General features: G+C 43.7%; 2 protein-coding genes across 4 annotated transcripts in view, besides 3 other annotated features; both read left to right on the forward strand.

The window, feature by feature from the left end:
• The window catches only part of ZNF664-RFLNA (ZNF664-RFLNA readthrough), a 342,810-nt gene that overhangs the window by 10,564 nt on the left and 313,339 nt on the right, over positions 1-18,907 (forward strand). The gene's annotated exons all lie outside the window — the stretch shown is intronic.
• ZNF664 (zinc finger protein 664) overlaps positions 1-18,907 on the forward strand; it is a 42,213-nt gene that overhangs the window by 10,564 nt on the left and 12,742 nt on the right. The window contains exon 3 of one of the 2 annotated variants that reach the window (NM_152437.3): positions 4,265-4,360. The gene's annotated coding sequence lies outside the window, so the exon portion shown is untranslated. The remainder of the gene's footprint in view (positions 1-4,264; positions 4,361-18,907) is intronic. The other variant, NM_001204298.2, reaches the window with a different exon arrangement.
• Positions 235-294: a silencer, noted in NCBI's record as "silent region_5055". NCBI's record gives its function as "represses an Ori minimal core promoter by ATAC-STARR-seq in GM12878 lymphoblastoid cells {active_cell/tissue: GM12878}" and the evidence as "EXISTENCE:reporter gene assay evidence [ECO:0000049][PMID:35858748]".
• Positions 485-554: an enhancer, noted in NCBI's record as "active region_7276". NCBI's record gives its function as "activates an Ori minimal core promoter by ATAC-STARR-seq in GM12878 lymphoblastoid cells {active_cell/tissue: GM12878}" and the evidence as "EXISTENCE:reporter gene assay evidence [ECO:0000049][PMID:35858748]".
• Positions 11,513-11,612: a silencer, noted in NCBI's record as "silent region_5056". NCBI's record gives its function as "represses an Ori minimal core promoter by ATAC-STARR-seq in GM12878 lymphoblastoid cells {active_cell/tissue: GM12878}" and the evidence as "EXISTENCE:reporter gene assay evidence [ECO:0000049][PMID:35858748]".

An 18,907-nucleotide genomic window follows, 5' to 3' on the forward strand; every position in this document is an offset into this window, starting at 1 on the left:
TTGGCTAGAAAACATGTCAAGTTTCTCAGTTAACCGATGTTCAATAAATTACTTTTAATACTATAACTTTACATTGTGATAGGACTAGGACCTTGTGGTAAGCCTCCAGACTCACAGTTAGAATCAGAGAACCTGCACAAAGCGGGTTGCATGCATTTTCATGATGCTTGGCAACTAGAGGTAGTAACCCATTGTGACATTGATTTCAAGTCCTAACTCCTTAGTGTGAAGAGCCGAGGTTTCTGAGCAGGTGTTTGAGTGCCCTCTGGAGGCCTTGTGAACAGTTGAAATGTGGACTCCTAGCAAAGCTTTCTTTCACAGCCAGAGTTGAGAACCAGTGGGCGAGATGGTTGAAACTGGTGTGGATGTTAGGAGCAGAGGAGAGGGGAGATGGAACTCATGGGAATGAACTAGTGTTTACAAGAGCTTGCCCGGCCAACTGATAATACTGGGTTTATGCAGTGAGTGTAGAACACAGAGGCCGTAGGGTCACAGAAGGAGCCAAGGGAGTGTGGCCAGTAATGTCCAGTGGGATAAAGAACAAAAAGTGCCCTTGGATTGGCCAAGAGAAGGCCGACAATGAGAGAGGAACCTCGGTGGTGTGGTGTTGGATTGAGGCATGAGTGGGAAGTGAAGCAATAGAAATCTGGAAAAATCAGTCTTTAAGAGGTCTGGATGGGGAAATGGAGGGTGGGGCCAGGGAGACAGGGTAGCTAGAGAAGGCCTGGGATTAAATGCTGTTTTTCCTTAAGGTTGGGGGAGACTTCTGCATTGTGTTTAAATGCTGAAGGGAAGAAACAAGCACAGAAAGAAAACAGTTGAAAGGGGTGTGGGGGCCGGGGAGGAGGAGAGAGTTGGTTTCAAAGTTCTTTGCCTGGGAGATCTGTTGAGGGAAGAAGTTGCCTTTTATAGGGACTTTGAGTTTGTCAAAGTAGTGATTTTCAGTTTATCGTGGGATGATGGGGAAATAATTCTAGTAGGCAGTTGGAGATACAGGTAAGAAGAAAAGACTGTGTTAAGAAACTGTGGCATCATCATCATGGAAATGGTCATCATTCCAGCCAAGCAGGTAGTTGAGCTAAAAAATGGAGACAGGACATACTGTATGGAGGACTCCTATATTTAGGCATAGGCATGTGAGATGGCAGACACAATCAGCAAGGCCAGAGGAAAAGTGAGAATGTGCAGGGAACTGGGAGCCGAGGAGACCGTAGACTAGGATTCAGGGTGAGGCAGGAGGAACGGCCCCAAGATTTGACTCTGAGAGCAGTTTTGTAGTGGGGGTGGGGGTACAGAATGGTGTGTGGGAGGTGCACACAGAAGGTATTATAGATGCTGTGGAGGAGCTCAGTAGTGAAAGTGAGAAGAGTGAATTGGTCTTAGTCGGGGGATGGCTCCAGAGAACACATGTCACTTATCTGTGCATATGAAATTAGAGCTGTAATCAACAATGACTCTAGAAAGGATTATTTTTGCTTTTTTGTTTTTAACACCATCATCTCAGAATATAAGATCTAAGTTTCATGTAACTTTTGTGCCACTTCCTACTCTTCTCAGATTGAGAATCTGACCAGAAGGAAGAAAATGTCTAGGTCTATTCATGACATTTGAGGGAGTTCTTGCAGGAGAGAGTAAATGTGACTGATTTTTGATTTACTATTCTGACACACGTCAAATGTTAAATCCTTTAAATCTATGAGACCATTTGCTATCATAAATGACATTTTAAAAAACTTCTTGGTAAAACTAATAGTATGGCTAATAGAAGTTATTTGGCTTCACTTATTTAAAATATTTCGTTAAGAAAAGATAACAGATTCCTAATATCAGAAGTGGTAAAATAACTGTGTTTAAATCTGGGAGGTGGGATTTGACCTCTCACTTTAGACTGAGTGCCCAGTTTGAGCGGCCAGGCGTACAGTTTAAGCATACACTTATCCAAGGGGTGGAATGGCAGGTTCCAGCTTAGGCCCAAACACGTCCGCTGCTGTGGGACTGGTGCGAAGATCTGTGAAGGCCTTAAGCCATTAAACTTTTGGAGGCCTTTACTATGTCATATCAAACATTAAATCACCCATGTCCCACATAAAATTAGCTTGTACAAAACCATATGAGTTAAGCTTTGATTGGCTATAGACATTTAACATTTATTAACTTTAATTTTGCAATTTTCTTTTCATGTTTTGCATCCAGTAATGTTTTTTTTCAGATCTGAAACATTTACATAGGTCTTCGAGATGCTCATGAGCCTTAGGGACTGTGCCTATATACCTAGAGATAAGACATCCCAGTTCTGCTGGGAAGTGGACATTGGGTATGTCTAGGCATGTCTGGCGGGGGGCTGGAGGGGGTGGGCTTGCCCAGAATCTGTTTGTTTGTGGCACTGAGGCACCTCCTGGGAAAACTTCATCTTAAGGGGGAGTTGAAGGAAGTGTTTTAGTTAGGGATTTTTTGTTGCAAAGAACAGAGTTTCATTCAGACCACTTTCTGTACAAGGGGCTATATTGGAGGATGCATGTGGATCAGACCCATGAGGAACTCAGGCTGTCCAGAGACAAGCCACAGTCTTCCCATGGACAGTGAGGTCTCTCACGGCATCACTCATTTCTTTGTGTCTTTCTCCTCTTGCTGCCATCTGGCTTGTTTTTCCCTCCTCTGTATGTCTTTTCTAACCTTTTAGCTCCTCCTTGCTTATAGATTCTACTTCCTCATGAGTTTGGTTTGCTGTGATTTGATGACCTCCGCAGTCATTTTGCGGATCATAACCTCTCAGCTTCATCTCTCACAGCTGATAACCTCATTCTCTCAGTATTGCTTAGATTCCTGAGAGAGAGGGAATCTGATTTTGTTTTGCTTTTATTGTTGTTCCAAGCCACATCATATGTCAGAGTTAAGCTCTTGGGTCAGATGTCTGCACTTGGTCTCAGAAGTGGTCATGTGGCCGATGGCTGCCTGGGCCTACCCTTAAAGCTGAAGCAGTTCCCATTAGTAGGATTTGTAGGCTAGCAGGCACCATGATTGGCATGTATAGTTCAGTAAGGGAGGAAAAAACCTGGCCCAATATCAAGACCACTTGAAATTCCTCCAAATGTATTCCTGCCCTTTAAAATATTATCCTGCTAACAGCTTTCATTCTAAGTTGAACCTTTATTCCCACAGAGAAACTAAAATAGCTAAATGTGTTGAAAGCATTTTCACTTTTCCATTTTCTTCCTGTTTTATTCAGTCTCTGACAGTGCAGGGCCACTCAGCATAGTCTACAGGACTCTATTTCTAATGTTAGTGATTTCTGCTGAAAATGATATAGCAACTTCAGATAGCTATTAGCAAGATGGATCATTCTAACCACATGCCTTTCACATAATCCTTTCCCCCAAAGCTCTGGGGAGCTGTAGAGGCATACTGTAATCCAGCACTGTCCCCAGATTGACAACAGCTAGAAAAACATGTAAATGTCCCATCCACATGTAGATACGGCAGCAGTGTGAACCTAAGTTCCTTAATATATCATAACTCCCAGGGGAAAGTGAAGTTCCCCAAACTTAAAGCTAGATCTTGAGATCTATACCTAAACTTCTCTGAACAATTATAGAATATAGCAGAGGCGGGGAGGTAGTAGATGGAATAAATAAAATAATGATAATGATAGCTTTGTTGAGCCCTTGAAATTTGCCAGGCAGTGTTTTAAGTACTTCTCATGGATTAATTGATTTAATCCTTAAATTACCTTATCAGATCAGCTGCCTTTATTATCTCCATTAACTCATTCTTAACCTCCTAGGTGAAGGTTACACAGCAGGTATGCAGTAGGGCCAGGACATGAACTCACCCAGTCTGACTCCAGTTTGTGCTTCTTCAGTACCCTGAGAGACTGGAAAATCCGTGAAAAAACACTATTGATTGTTTATTCCCTGGCATTTTAGCCAGTCTGAGTCAGTTATCTTATACCTATGAACCTTAAACTCATTTTGGATCTGGTTCCCATCACGAGGCTAATTGTGATAATGGGATACCTATATCTTGGAGGGAAGTTGTGCAGAGTGCCTGGATTTTCCTTTCTGTGGTTTCTCAGATTTGCTCATCCCTTCTTTGGACCTCCATGCCTTGAATCCCATATATTTATATAAATCCCAGATGTAAATAGGTCTGTCCTATCTTCTGAGCTGGGACCCCACGTTTATAGTAGCTAGTTCATGAAAACATTTTGTGATCCTAAATTCTCTATAAATAAACCCATTTTTCTCTTTGCATTTCTCCCATCCAGCAGGATCCTAAGGCCTTTGTAGTCCTTCAGCCACTGTGGGCCCTGCCTCTGCCTGTTCTTCTGGAATGTCTTGGGGGTTTTGATCCTGTCACTGTGGTAAGTTTTCCCCTTGTTTCACCATTTGTCCTAGATGGAGAATCCCCCTTGAGTATTTTAAGCCAAAGCTGTCTCTAGAATTTTTTCTGAGCATGTGCCCTTTGGGCTCAGTGAGGAAGCAGCTCTCCGTGCACGCTCTTCCTGACCTCTCGCCTTTATCTGGCATTGGATTCCCCAGATCTTGGACCACCTTCCTTACTCTAAAGATGTCAGAAACATTTTTGTCCAACTCTTTTTGTTCCCTGGGATCTTCATTTTCTTCTTTCCATGTGAACCATTGGTTATTAAAACTTTGTTTCAGTTGTCCCATTTTCTTCTGCCATCTTGGAGGCCTTACATGGATTCTAGATCTCATGCCACCCTTTGTCTTTTTCTTCTGTTGTTCCTATCCTCACCGAGCTATCAAAACTTTTTAAAAGCTCGGTTGCTTTGTAAATTTCTGGTGTTTTTTTTTTCCCCAACGTCTGAATAATAGCTTTTTCCTTAAATATGAGTTCCTGAAAATCTTCTTACCTGAGGATTATGGTTTCACATTGATCTGTGCAGACTTGATTCTGAGTGTCATTGTGTTCCCAGCACAACTATTTTTTTACTTTGTTTTCTCTTTGGATTTGTTCTTTTTTAAAGATTTTTTTTTCCCTTCTTTGGCTCAACTCAAGAAGGCAACATATATAGGACAGGTATTTGTTTATCTTTATTTGGTCATTGCTGAAATCCAGAATACTCCAGTTGAGCATACAGTCTAGATCTCTGTGATTCACAGACATCATGAAATTGTATGTTATTTCCATGCATAGCTGGGCAGGAAGAGAAAGGAAAGCCCTTGTCTTGATAGCTGCTGGCTTCTGGGGGCATGAGCTTCTTGTCATTTCCCCTGCTGCCAGAGGCTGGTTTCTCAGGCCCTGGGCTTCTGCCTTCCCAGACTTCACTTTCCCATGCAACAAGGAGGATTGGCTGTGGGAGGTAAAGGATATTGTGTTGGCCTCTGTCCTAGTGGGTCTAGTGACTGTGCGTTGTTAGAAGGCTAAGCCTATGTAGATGTGTGATGTCTTTTCTTTTTCCTGGCTGTATGTGGCTAGAGTGGTAAGGCTGGGGCTGCCCCTGAACGGAAAGGTCTTGACCACCTCTCTTCCTTTTCTCTCTTTTCCCATGTGCTGGATTGGTTTCCAGGTGACTGACCTATTTAGAAGTGGGGGCAAGTGGACCCTGGCACAAGGGCAAATGTTCTCTCTTCTCTCTCTCTTTCTGGCTGCATTATCTCCTGTGCTGATTTGGGTAACCTCGGCCAGTCTTTATCGTGAGTGGTAAGACCAAAGAGTCATGTCTAATATTTTATGAATTCCTTTTCATTCCCGTATGCGCTTTGGTCCCAGTTTAAGATTGCCACTAATGTAGGGAAAAGGAGTTCTCCATGTGATCCAGCCTACCTTATGGAATGCTGCATTGGAAATTGGATTCACAGGCCCAGCTAATAATGAAGTGTTCTGTATTTTCAGTTCAGTCCTGTGTACATGTCCATCTAGGGTACCTAGAAGTTAGGGGTGTTTGCTGAGCCCACTGGCCAGATTTGCTATTAGCCATTAATAACATACATTTTCAGAACAGTACTGGATCAACCTCCAGTGCCAGTCCTACAAGATCAAAAGCCTGAAGGCCAGAGTTCTGCATAATTTGTTGTGACCATTCCCTGGCCCTCTCTGAGAGTATAGTGGCAATAAATTTCTGTCCATCCATGCAGATACTGAATTCTATTCTTAGGATTCTCATCATCTCTGTTGATTTTTGGCTGTAAGAGGTCACCTGCTCTTGCACTTTGTGCTTCCTGAATGAGCCTACTCAAAAATCTCTCTCCCTTGCTTGCTTTGGTTTGCCAGACAATACATGTTACGAATTGTGACCCAGGTATAAAAATAGCCAGACTCTTGATGTACTTAAGAATAGTCACATTCATGGAGTCAAGAAAGTAGAATGGTGGTTACTGGGGCTGGGGGAGAGGTAAAAGGGGAGTTGTTATTGAATGGGGACAGAGTTTGTGTTGCAAGATGAAAAAGCTCTGGAGATCTGTTTCACAACAGTGTGTATATATGTAACACTACTGAACTGTGCACTTAAAATGGTTAAGATGGTAGATTTTATGTTATGTGTTTTTTTACCACAATTTTTAAAAATGCATACAAATGTCAGAATCACAAATCCATAACTTTTGACCCCCTAACTACTGTTGCTACTCCTACTGCCAGCATCATTGAGGGCAGTCTTGCTAATTACCCACTTTTCATTTTACCTGTTCTCCAGGGCCCAACCTGTCTTCCTTCTTTTAGTTGGCTAGGCTGGGGCCCCTGTGACCTTCAGGTGTTCCTTATACCTCTTCCTGAGGGTGGCTTGAGCTTTCCGGTCTGTTCTTCTTTTCTTCTGGGCCTGAGCATGAATTTTGTCTCTTTAGGTCTTACTACCACAGTGGAAGGAGGAAACAAGTTTAGTAAATGAGCACTAGAGCTAACCTGAACTAAACCTCTGTGCTTCCTTTTGTGTTCCCTCCCCCAGCTAGTTCCTGCCTGACCTCAGATCAGAAAGAATCCCCTGGCCAGTTGTGAAAGACTGGTCCCTTGAGGGAGACAAATCCAGTAGTCAGCCAAAGGGAAGGATAAGGAAGAGGCAGAGTGCAGGAAAGTGGGTTTTCTTATGTTCTGTTGTTCTTTCTGTGCGTTGACTCTCTCTAGGTATCCTAATTGTATCCTGAGGAAATCGTATTTTTTTCTGTTACCTCATCGGTGTTCCTTGTTCCTGAGGAGGCATGAGTAGAGGGTGAGAGTGAGCATCTCCATGACTCACAGTGGAACTTCTGTTTCATAGCCGAGTAAACTGAGGCTGGTGAGAATCAGTGACTACAGTCAGACAGCTATTTAGTATTAGGTGAAGATTTTGAACTTAGGCCTTTTGGGCTGCAAGTCCAGTGTTCTACCCACCAAATTATTATGATTCTTAGTGCATGTGTATGTTACACATTTACTAGTTAGATAAGATAAACTTAGGCCTTGTATGTGGGGTTCACGTAGGGGCTATCACTGAAGCTAATCATTGTGTCCCATTACTCAGGTGTTTCTGTATATGGGGTTGAACAGCAGGAAAAAAAAGTAGTGGGGTGCAAACCAGGGGAAAATCTCACTAAAGTAATATTTTTTAAAAAGCAATCCTGTGACTAGATAGTCAAGAAGGGAAAAGTTATGGGTGGGAACAGGGAGCAGCAGACACATAGGTATAAAGGCAGGGTTTCACCTTGAATGGAGGAAGAACCCTAATTACAGGGAGATTACATCATCAGGTGTTTGGAAGCCTCTGCCTGTGAAATGACATTCTTGGCAAATGAATGAATGTGTCATGCACTAATTAAAATAAAGGAAATAAGGAAACTAACATTCATTTAGCCTCAGCTATGCTGTGGGCACTCTGATAGGTACTTTCATGTTTATTATCTTTAATTACCGCAGCAAAGTATTGTAGACATTATTATCCATACATTTGCAGCTCGATCAGATCAGCCACAGTCACATAGCAGGTGGCAGAGCAGAGGCCTATACCCAGTGATGTCATTCCAGAGGTCATTTTGTGAGAGGACTTGGCTGAAGGAAAGCTACAGAATGGATGCCTGTGTCATCCTTGATCACCCTGATAACACATGCACTTATCCTTCTCAGACTTTCTTCTCAGACTCAGCAGAAAACTTGGCATCATTCCCTTGATAACTTTTGTTGCCCTTCTCTGGACCTAATTTCATAGTCTTTGTGGTAATTTCTTGTTAAAGAAAAATCAGACACAGCTTCTTTTGTCTTTTATCTTTTCTCCATTAGGAGTCATTAGGCTAAGTCATGCAAAGACGAATTTCCGCAGGACAAAATGAAGCATATCTTCCCTATAGCTCATTAAAACCCAGAGCCCAAATCGTTAAGCCATTGAACTTTGTCTGTTGTGAGAGAAATCAGGGAACATAGAACTTTGGTGTGTAGGGTATAAGGAAGTATGCGGGGCAGTAAGGAAAGGGGAGAAGGAGGCGAGGGGCCCAAACACCTGGGGACCAAGTAGGAAAGTGGTCTGAGGGTGGAGACGAGGTCCTAGGAGTGTCTGGAAGGACTGTTGTCAGTTTCTCTCCTAGTGCTCAGGAGTCAAGCTGAGTCACAGGCTTTTCTAGCCAGCTGGTGGCAGGGCTGTGCACAGGAGGGCATCAGAAGTGATGTAAAATCCTCTCTTTTCAGTCTGGAGCAGATTTTTAAGTTTGCCCTCATTCTGGAAAGGAGAGGAGTATAACCGGGCTGATATCCTAAATTTAGTTGGAGAATCCTGCTCAGAGTCAGAACTTCTTTTGACCAAACTCAAAAGCTGACTTCAGAACCCTTGGGGAAGTTGTTCCTAGTATCACAGAGGCTGTAGTTATTAACAGCATGTTCGGGAAATGCTGGCTGCTACTTGAGCCACAGGTAAGGGAGCGTTTGGATTCCTGTCAGGGCGTGTTTCCAGGATGCTGCATGAATGACAGCCAATGGGGCAGAGACTGATGTTCTTTTGAGGAGCCCACTTTTAGAGGTCATTCTACTTTTCAGAAGTGCATGTACTCCAGTGACTACAGCAGAATGCATTGGTGCCTGAACTGACAGGCCTTTGAGTCAACAGAACCTGGAATATCTCCGAGGCTGGGCTTTGTGGTGTGGAGGATTTGACCACAGAGATTTAGACCTGGGAATTATGGCTGTGCTTGGGCTACTCTGAGTGAAACTCTTCTCCTCTCAGTTCTGACCACCTCCAACCTCTAGTAACTGAACTCGGCCCAGAAAGACAAAGAAACCCAGATTCACTTCTGTGAGTGATAAGCACATCTGAGAAAAAAGGCCTGGCAGTTGGACCTTCCGAGGTGCTGTCGGCTGGAGGAGATGAAGTGTGAGAAGTTGAGTAGCTACAGGCCTTAGTGGCCACTTAAGAGGGTTTGGCGAAGTCAGAGAAGGACCCTCTTTCAGAGACTCTGAAAGTCCATTGTCAAGGAGAGAGGTCTAGGACCCTACAAGGTGGAGCTTCACTGTGACCTGTTATCATTGAGGTGGCCAAGGGCACATGCAGGCACTGTAATGGGGAAAAGGGCCCTGGCTTCTTCAAGAGTGGGGAATGTGAAGGGCCTCTTTGGGACATGAATCTGCCTTGGGCAGCCAGAATCTTCAATTTCAGAACTATTGATGATGGTGGAAGCAAAATAGAAGGGATCTGACATTCCACAGTCCTAATCAGTGAGTTGCCAGTGACTGCCATAATTAAGTTATTCTAAGGCAAATAGTTAAGCAAAGATTAAGTGGACGAGACCTCTGTAACTTGAGTATCTAAGTCTTCCTATACCAAGTTATATGTATTTTAGACTACACTTTTCTAAAGGTGTAGTAGAGACTAGTGAGGAGGTAGATACAACATCTGCTGTGTTCCCATATACCTGAGGCTCATGGAGAGTGGTGGCCTTGAACAGAACAAATGCCCTCTTAACCCGGTTCCTTTGGCGGTATGTACGTCCTGATACCTAAACAACGTTTCCTTTAATTTATTTTTTGGGTGTGTGCCAAGGCCTGTAGAAAAAGGCTGAGCAGAGGTTCTCTTGGAGTTGTTTTATCTGCTGAGACTTGCCAAATTAGAATTTGATGGCTTTGATTTCTGGGACTTCCTGATCATTTTTGAGGAGGAGGAGTTCCTAACTAAGCTGGAGGGCACATACTTTCTCCACATGAGTGGGGCACCCATGATGTCAGCGAGGACAGTGTCAGATAGATGCACAGCCCATCACCCAGAAACTAAGGTCTTGTAAGAATACCTTAGTGAATTGTGCCAGATGGAATAAATTCTGAATCCTTTATAAAGCATCTCTTTGGGAGAGTTCTTTCTTGTAGTGTTTAGGTCTCAATCCTCTCATGCACGAAACTTCAGAATTATTTTGGAGGACTTTGGGGGGCGTTTTTCTTATATCTAGAAGAGGAATGTTTGGTGATGGAAATTACTCACTACACATAAGTGGTCATCTTACAGTTTGTTTGCATACTTTCAGTCTTCAAAAAAAGTGGGTTTAAGATGGATTCTCAACCCCTTTTTGTGTCTGGCCTTCCTTACACTTTAAAAACCATTTTTAAGGACTCCAGAGAACTTTAAGTTTATGTGGGTTGCAGGCTTTGGTACTTATTGTAATAGAAATGAAGACTAAAGTTTTATGAAGATACTTACTAACTCATTTATTTAAAAATGATAAACTCATTACATGCTAACATAAATGACATTTTTATGAAAAATAGCTATTTTCTGAAACAAAACATTTAGTAGGAAGAGTGGCAATATTTACATTTTGGCAACTCTTTAAATGTATGGAGTTTAAATAAAAGACATCTGCTTCTATATTCAGTCTCTTGCAATATGTTGTTTTGGTTGAAGTAGATGAAGAAATCCGGCCTTGCATAGATAATGTAGTTGGAAAAGGGATTTTAGTAGCCTTTTCAGATAATTGTGGCTTTATCTGTGACATGACACCAAAACTTGACAAGTGGTAGATGCCTACGGGTTAGTTGCAACGTACAATCTGAAACTGTATTCATGAACTTTTCGTACTCTGGTATGTTAAAATCCCTTGGTCTCTCTTACACTCTGAATAGATCTTTTACAAACTGTGTGACCACATGTTGGTCATTTGGAGCCTTCATGGAGTGCCTACCTAGATGAACATTAATTAGCGGGAATTGTACTATAAATTGTGAGAACATGTTGAGAAGGAGGATCTAGATCAGTGGGTGCTTAGCTAGTTTATTCAGGAAGGGTTTCAGCTGGGGCATAACTAGGGGGCAAAGAACATCTGTTACAGTAAAGGCAATGATGAAAATGTACTATTTGCATACTCAGTAATCTGAGGAGGTTGGGATTACAAGCCCATTTTACAGACAGGAAGCTGGTGCTCAGACAGTTGAGAGCATGATCTGAGGGTGGTAGGGAGAGGTGTTGAGCATAGAGCCGTGGCCCATTGTGTGTTTCATCACGGTGTTGTGCAGCTAAGCCCCATCCTCTGCTGAGTAGAGCTATGAGTCAAGTAGGCTTTAAAAAAAATAGTTTACAGACAAAGAACATTTTCATATTAAGTGTGAGGCCGATCAGGCACTTGCCAAGAACCACATTTAGCCTCTGAGTCAATGCTTCACAGACTATTGTGTGACCTGGGGATCCTGCTAAAATGCAATTCTGATTTGGTAGGTCTAAGGTGGGGCTGAGGTTTTGCATGTCTGACAAGCTCCCAGGTGAGGCTGATAACGCTGCTCCATGGCTCAGTTTTGGGAATCAAATTTCCAGAGCCAGTTTACCATTTGTTCCTTAATACATGATATGAATGTTAATCCCAGTCACTCAGGCTTTGGAGAAGGAGAATGGAGGTGGGCGGAGATGGGTGGTAACTATGTAAAATTCTTTGTCAGTTAGGGCTGCCTGGTAATCAGCAACAGAAATGGACTCTAGCTAATTTAAGGTAAAAATGAATTTTAGAATGGAAGGGGACGTGGAGGAACCCAGTAGCGCTGGAGGTTCATAGTTGTAGGAACTGCTTAGATGTCTGTCCTGGGTGCTGTCACTAGCACATGTGAATGAACTCTAATTTTTAATGTCATCTTTGACTCTTCACAATTCAGAGTACGTGGAGAGAAGACTGGCTGGCTCAACAGAGGTCTGTTTTGTACCCCCTGACTGGACCAGGCACTGTAGTGAGAGGGAAGATCTGGGGATCTTGTCCTTCACAAGGGAGGATAGAAGAGCACCCTGATTTATCAGCCCATTATTGCCGCATAGAGAGGGAGAGGTAATCCCTGAACAGGAAGTTAGAGTGCAGTTAGGAAAGGGAAAGGAAAGCTCAGCAGGAAGGCTGACCTGTTGCCAGGCTCCTAAGCCATCTTTCAGTTAACAGTGTGCATTCCCTGTACTTACCAGGCAGGTACATTGAAGAAAGAAAGTATGTATTGAGCTTAAGTACTATAATAAATATGCATTGTTTTATGCAATTTTCAAAGCAACCTTAAGAGATGCAAGTATAGGTATTATTGAGGAAATGAGTCTTGGGGTTGAACAACTTGCTTGAGGTCACACTTAGTAAGTGGGAGAGCTGCAACTTGAATTACAAAGTTTCTGCTGCAGTATCATTTGTTGGCAGAAACTGCTGCTGCTTGGGGTAAAAGGTTGCTTCAAGTGGGCTGAGTGTGAGCATAAGTGGTGGAAGTTGGGGAGAATGTGTATGGACACACAGAGCTGGAGATGCATAACAATTCAAGATTTTGGAGATAGAATGCTCTGTAAAACAAGCTCAAATTTAGCTGTGTCTGTTAAGAGCTTCATGGCCTCAGGAAGGGCTTTCAGTCTCTTAGCTCTACCAGATTATGGCTTTGCCTGTGATGGGAAAGGATACTTCCACGGAATGGAAATTTAAGGTGCGAAACCCAAGGAGAGCAGGCAGGAATGGGGAAAAGTGTTCATCTGGAAATCAGACAGAGTGGACAGAATGTCGTTGGGGGCGGGCTTTATAATTGATGGGTAGCTTTTGCAGTGGCCAATTAGATTGCAGGGCTCTGTCCTCATTGCCTGGCCAGGGAGGGAATGAAGCTCATTCCTGCATTACCAGGACAAAGCCCACTTGTGTGTGATGGACGGAAGTAGGCTGGGTGCCCCATGTTATATGTATTATATACAAAACCCCCATTCACTCTGGCTAGTCTAATTGTGAAGCCACTGCTCACCCCTTCCCCAGGCTGCCAGCCACAGAAGTATGTATGTGTCGTTGACTTTTTGGTGTCAGAGGTGAAGACTGTAGATACTGTTTGTGGTTTTTTTGTTTCCTTGGGAGACAGAAGCAAAGAATAAAACTCTTGTAAAGGAAAGGAAAAATAAAGATTTTCTATGAAATGTAATCTCTTAAGTAAAAATATTTAAGTGAAATCTGCAACTTCTTTTTTTGGACGTGATTAAAGGTGAAATGACTCCGGGTTTTTAGAGCTAAAAGGGCTTGGGTGAAGTGTGAAATAAGCACCATCCATTCAGCATCACCAAAGAATAAACAATGCCCCTTGTGTACATAGAGCCCAGATGGAGGTAAGGACTGTGATGGCAAAATTTCACTGAGAGCATGCCACATCCTCCTTGTAGTTTCCTTGGGCTGCTGTAACAAAGTACCACAAGCTGGGAGGCTTAAAACAATAGAAATTTATTGTCTCACAGTTCTGGAGGCTGGAATTCTGGATTAAGGTGGCAGCAGGGCCGTGCTCCCTTTGAAGGCTTTACAGGAGAATCCTTTGCCTCTTCCTAGCTTGTGGTGGTTGCTAGTAGTCTTTGGCGTTCCTTGGCTTGTAGACATATCACTTCACTCTCTGCAGTCATCCCCACGTGGCCTTTTTCCCTGTCTGTGTGTGTGTCTGACTCTCCATGTCCTCTCTTTTATAAGGATAGCAGGCATTGGATTTAGGGCTCACACTAACACATTATGATGTCATCTTAATTACATCTGCAAAGACCCTGTTTCCAAATAAGGTCACATCCTGAGGTTCTGGATGGATATGAATTCTGGGGAGACACTATTCAACCCAGTATACTTTTTGCCTTTCTTCCTTAGAGCTCCAGCTAATCCAGATGCAACATTGACGAATTAGTGCCGGAATGAGTATCAGCACTTGGTACTGCAATTAGAACACGGGGATTTGGCTGTTGATTTATTTTTTGGGCTACACTGGGAGGGAGGCTCAGAGACGGTGTGGGTGTCTGAAGGAAAAAATACGTGTTAAGTGAAGTGAGGACTTCAAACGAAATCATACAGTTTTGGGAAACTGCATTGGATAGGGAATGCTGGAGCCAAAGAGTGTTCCCTGTTCCAGAAAGGGAGGTAACATTTGCAGGAGGGCTTCTGAGGTCAGAAGTTCCTCCTAGAAGTGCAGGGTGTATCAGCCATCTCAGGAGCTGATTTCCTGTGCAACTTTTTCTAATACCCCCGGGAGCCTTTCTTATACTTTATCCCTTTGTATGTTTATGGATCAGGTCCTTCCCACTCTTCGGCACCTGTGACAGGCTCCACAGGCTTCCAACACTTTAAATGCCTTCTGTTTTTCCTAAAAGATAGAGTCCTGAGCTTACAGGACTTCATAGGAAGACCTGTAAGTCTCTGTTGGTCTTTATAGGTGGACTACTATCTCCTGGGTGTCTTGTAACTGTAATGTTTATATTTTTTCAGAAAACCCTACAGAGATGCCTTGGTCACTCCAGATAAGAGTTTCTGTGGCTGAGAGGCCCCACTGTATGACTCCTGTTTCTGCCTGCTGGACTTCACTTTCTGGGGCTTGGCATCTGATGACCTCTGTATACATGCTGTGCCTCCTGTTCTTTATGTGGCCACTTCACTTTGTCCTTTGGGTTTCAGCTTAAAAGTAGAGTCAACTAGAAATCTTCATTACCATGCTGAGACTAGTTAGGATGCCCCTGGCTCATCAGCTGTAATGCCTCTGTCAAAGCTCCACTCAAACATGCTAGAACCATCGCCTTCCCCTCCTCAACTGTAAACCACAGAAATGCAGAGGCCCTGTCTGTTTTGTTCATCAGATCCTCCGGAGCATAGCTTACTGCCCAACAGATGCTGGGTGGTAAATAAATGTGGAATATGTGCCTGTGTGTGTGCAGCTCTGACCCTGTGCCTCAGAGGTCAGCTTCCAGGACTGTTGCCTCAATAACACCTCTCTTCCAAGTCTGTGTCAGGGTGGGCTGGCTTCTCTCATTGTCACTTATCTATGTCAAATAATCAACATGTGTTAGAGGACTAGGGATATAGGGATCTTTCTATAAAACCCTTCCCATTAATTAAGGGACCAAGAAGTTAATGTGGATCCTTTATATGTTATGATTACTGGCTTAGTGCATCGTCTCCTGAGCCAGGGCCCTTTGATTATCTTTCTTAGAGAATCTTATCCAGCCCCTATGACACAATTGCCTGCTGTATGCATGTGGGGAGATGAATCACATGGTCATCTCAACTCATTGCAGTTGGTAGTGGTTATTTTTGGTAGGGATTGGAGGCCGACATGTCATCTTCCCAGTTCTTTTTCACTTTTATCTTTCCCAGAAAGTGTGCCCTTATGCTTTGAGTGGCAAAATTATATACCACACATTCTGATAGATCTGGTTCTGGGTAGGAAATTAATTTGATCTCTGTTGAAATTGATTTTACTGTCAGAGTCTGCTATTGAAGAGGGGGATTATATATAGTTAGTGCTTCATAGGAAGACCTGTACTCATAATACTGCTGAAAGATCTGTGATACTTACAGGTTTCTTAAAATCAGAACAGTTGTCTCAAAAATAAGAAAATAGGTAATTTTCACTTGACTTTTATGACAAAGTAATTGTATAGTTATTTAAAAACGACTTTAGATTTTTCTGAGCCAGCAGTCCGAATTTCAGATAATGTATTCAAGATAAAAAAAGAAAAGCTCAGTCCAGACATCCAGAGAGGAGCGGTGTTGGGCTGAATCTTAAGTAGGACATGGACACTTCTTCCATTTATAAAAGGAAGAAAGGGCTAGAGTCGGGCAGTACATGTACCTTGATAGTTTGGCTGGAATTGGAGGGAGTTCTCTGATGGGTTCTCCCTTTTCTGTGTGGCATTTGGTTTGAAGAGCAGAGCTAGCTGCAGGTCAGACATAGATTGAACATGGGGAAGGGGGCAATAGCCACATAGCAAGTTGGGGTGAGGTCACACAAGCATTCCTGAGGCTTGGAAGACCCAGCTGAGGGTATCACTGTGAAGACCTTGGTGGTCTATGATTCTGTTAGCATGTGAAGGTAGAGATTTGGATTGGGATAGGGGATGATTTCCTTTAGAAGGAAGGCCCGTTTGTCCTTTGACGATTCTCATTTGGCAAAAACTCAGTTTTGCAGAAACTTAGCTATCTGCCTTCCCCATGCAGCCCCTGAGGAACTGAGCCCTGGGCCAAATCCATGCCCACCCTCGATGCTGCTGGCAGTCTCCCTACGTTTCTTGGGTCATGCCACTCTCCCACCCTCCAGACAACCATCTCACACCACCTCTGTTCTCCTCAAACCTCCAGGCTCCCCATTGCCCTCTCCTTCTCAGCAGATGGCCTTGCTTCCTGCTTCCCAGCAGCCAGGGACTGTCAGTTTCTACTTAAACACACACACCACTTCCTACCTTCGCCTGTTCATAGAGGCCCGTCCTTCTCCTCTCCAGAGCTCATTCCTCTCGTGGAGCTTTGGATCCTGTCTCCATTGGCCCTTTCTGTTATTTCTTTTCTCTCCCATAGTTTAGTGGAATTCCTCTCATTTTTATTTCTTCCCTGAACTTTTCCTTGAAGTCTAACATGCAGATTATAAATAGGGCTGTAGTGTAATGAATTTTCACAGCTATGAGTTGAGCACACCTGTGTGCCCCAGTGCCCAGATAAAGACAGCACATGACAACGATCCCTAGAAATTCCCTCGTGCATCTTTCTAGTCATTAGCCCCTCTGTCTGCTCTGTTGTGTAACAGCATCAGTTGATTTGCTTGTTTTTCAACTTTATGTAAGTGGAATCATTCAGTATGTGCTCTTCTACTTGGCTTCTTTCAAACTCAGTCATTAAATGTTGGTCTCCTGTAGCTTAGTCCCAGGGCCCTCTTCCCTTTTCACCCTTTGTTGGTAGGCAGTCTTATTCCCTCCCCCTGTTTAAGTTACCATCTAAATGTTAACGGCTCACACATGTATACCTTATAAAGTCCTGATCTCTTATCTCAGTGCCAGTTCCATCCATCTAGCTGCTGTCCTTGACATCGACTTTTGGATATCATGAGCATGTCTAAAATGGAAATCACAATCTTTGTCTTCAAACCTTGGTCTTTCTAAAGTTTTCTGTCTTACTGAATGGCTCCATCTCCATCCAGTTATTCAAATAAAAGACCTGGGGGTCATCCTTGGCATTTCCTTGTCCCTCACCCATTGTATTGAATCTGTCACCAAGTCTGATACATTTTTCTCTCATCTCCACCATTGCTTTAGTCCAGATTATGATCATTGTTTCCAACCCAAATGACTAAGATGATCCCCTACCATGTTTACCCCTAAATGCTCTTGCTTTCTACCCATCCTTTAATTTCTGTACTTTAGCTACAGTTTTCTATTTAAAATGGAAATCTGATGTTACTACCAAATTTTAAAACAAAAGCTAACCGCTCTGGAGGCTTCCACTGCTACTAAGATAAAGATCACGATGCCTAGCTTCTACCCTCTCATCTGGCACTGAGCGTCTCCAGCCCCGCTGGCCCTGTTCTGTCCCGTGCTTGCCTCCTGCCCCTCACCATGGTCCTCCACGCATGCCTTTCCCTCGGGTCATGTATCTTCTCTTCACCCTGCAGAGGCCTCCTCTAGATCTGAGGTCAGCCATCAGTTCAAAGTGGTCTCCCCTGACCTCTGACCCCTGACCAGGTCAGCCTCACTTCCAGCCCAGCCTGAGGTGCTCAGAGCACTGTGCAGGGCTGCTTTGGAGCATTTCACATAGATTTATTTGACATTTCTTTGTGGACACCTTGATGAACATTGTCTCCCCACTAGACTGCAGCTTGCACTCGGAAAGGGACTGGCTATGATTCTGCACTGCTGAAGGCACAGAAGCTGACATAGGTTAGACACTCAGTAAACATTTGGTGCTTGAATGACTTTGGAAGACAAAGAGATGAAGGAGTTTTAGAGATTCACAAATTTCATAAATTCTCTGCAGTTTCTGCTGATCAAGGAGCTTGCATTCAAGAGAGCAGGGAGAGGAGCACAACAAAGGAAGCATGTGCAAAAATGAGCACAATAATTCCAGGCAGTAAGTGGTAATGTTCTGTACAAAAGTTAAATTAAGCAGAAAGAGGTGGTCAGAAAGGTGTGAGGGCAGAGAGGTAAGTCAGCTGAAACTGACAAGCCCGGGAGCCGCTTTCTAGGAAGACAACGCATGTGCTGAGGCCTGGGTGTTGAGCAGATGCCAGCTCCCTGAGGACCAGGAAGAAACTGGGCAGGGGGCTCATGTGAAGGTACTGAGGGCACATGAGGCTGGCAAGCTTGAAGACTAGAAAGGAGATGAGGGAGGCTGGTGTGTGGTTTGCAGAGAGTGCAGGAGGTGAGGTTGGAAGGAGGCGGTGGCTGGGCCACCTCCAGCTTGTGAGCCAGTGAGAGGATGTGTGTTCTAAAGAGCAATGGAAGGATTAAGCAGGGCAGTGACGTTCTCTAACTTACATTTTTAAAAGATAAGGGTGACTACTGGTAGAGGTCCAGTTGTGGAGGAGCAAGAATGAAAGCCAGAGAGACCTGTGGTTGAGAGGCTGTTGAAATAGTGCAGGCAGGAGGTGACCGTGGCCTGGATAGGGTGGAGCTTGTAGTGGCCATGGAGAGATGCAAGGGCAGGGCTGGGTTATGTTGTGGAGAGGAGGTAGAGTGTGCAGTGATTTGCACTGGTGGGGCTGGAGGAAAGCAGAATTAAGGACAATGCATCTGGAT

Source organism: Homo sapiens, chromosome 12 (genome assembly GCF_000001405.40).
Source record: "Homo sapiens chromosome 12, GRCh38.p14 Primary Assembly".
Classification (NCBI taxonomy): Eukaryota; Metazoa; Chordata; class Mammalia; order Primates; family Hominidae; genus Homo; species Homo sapiens.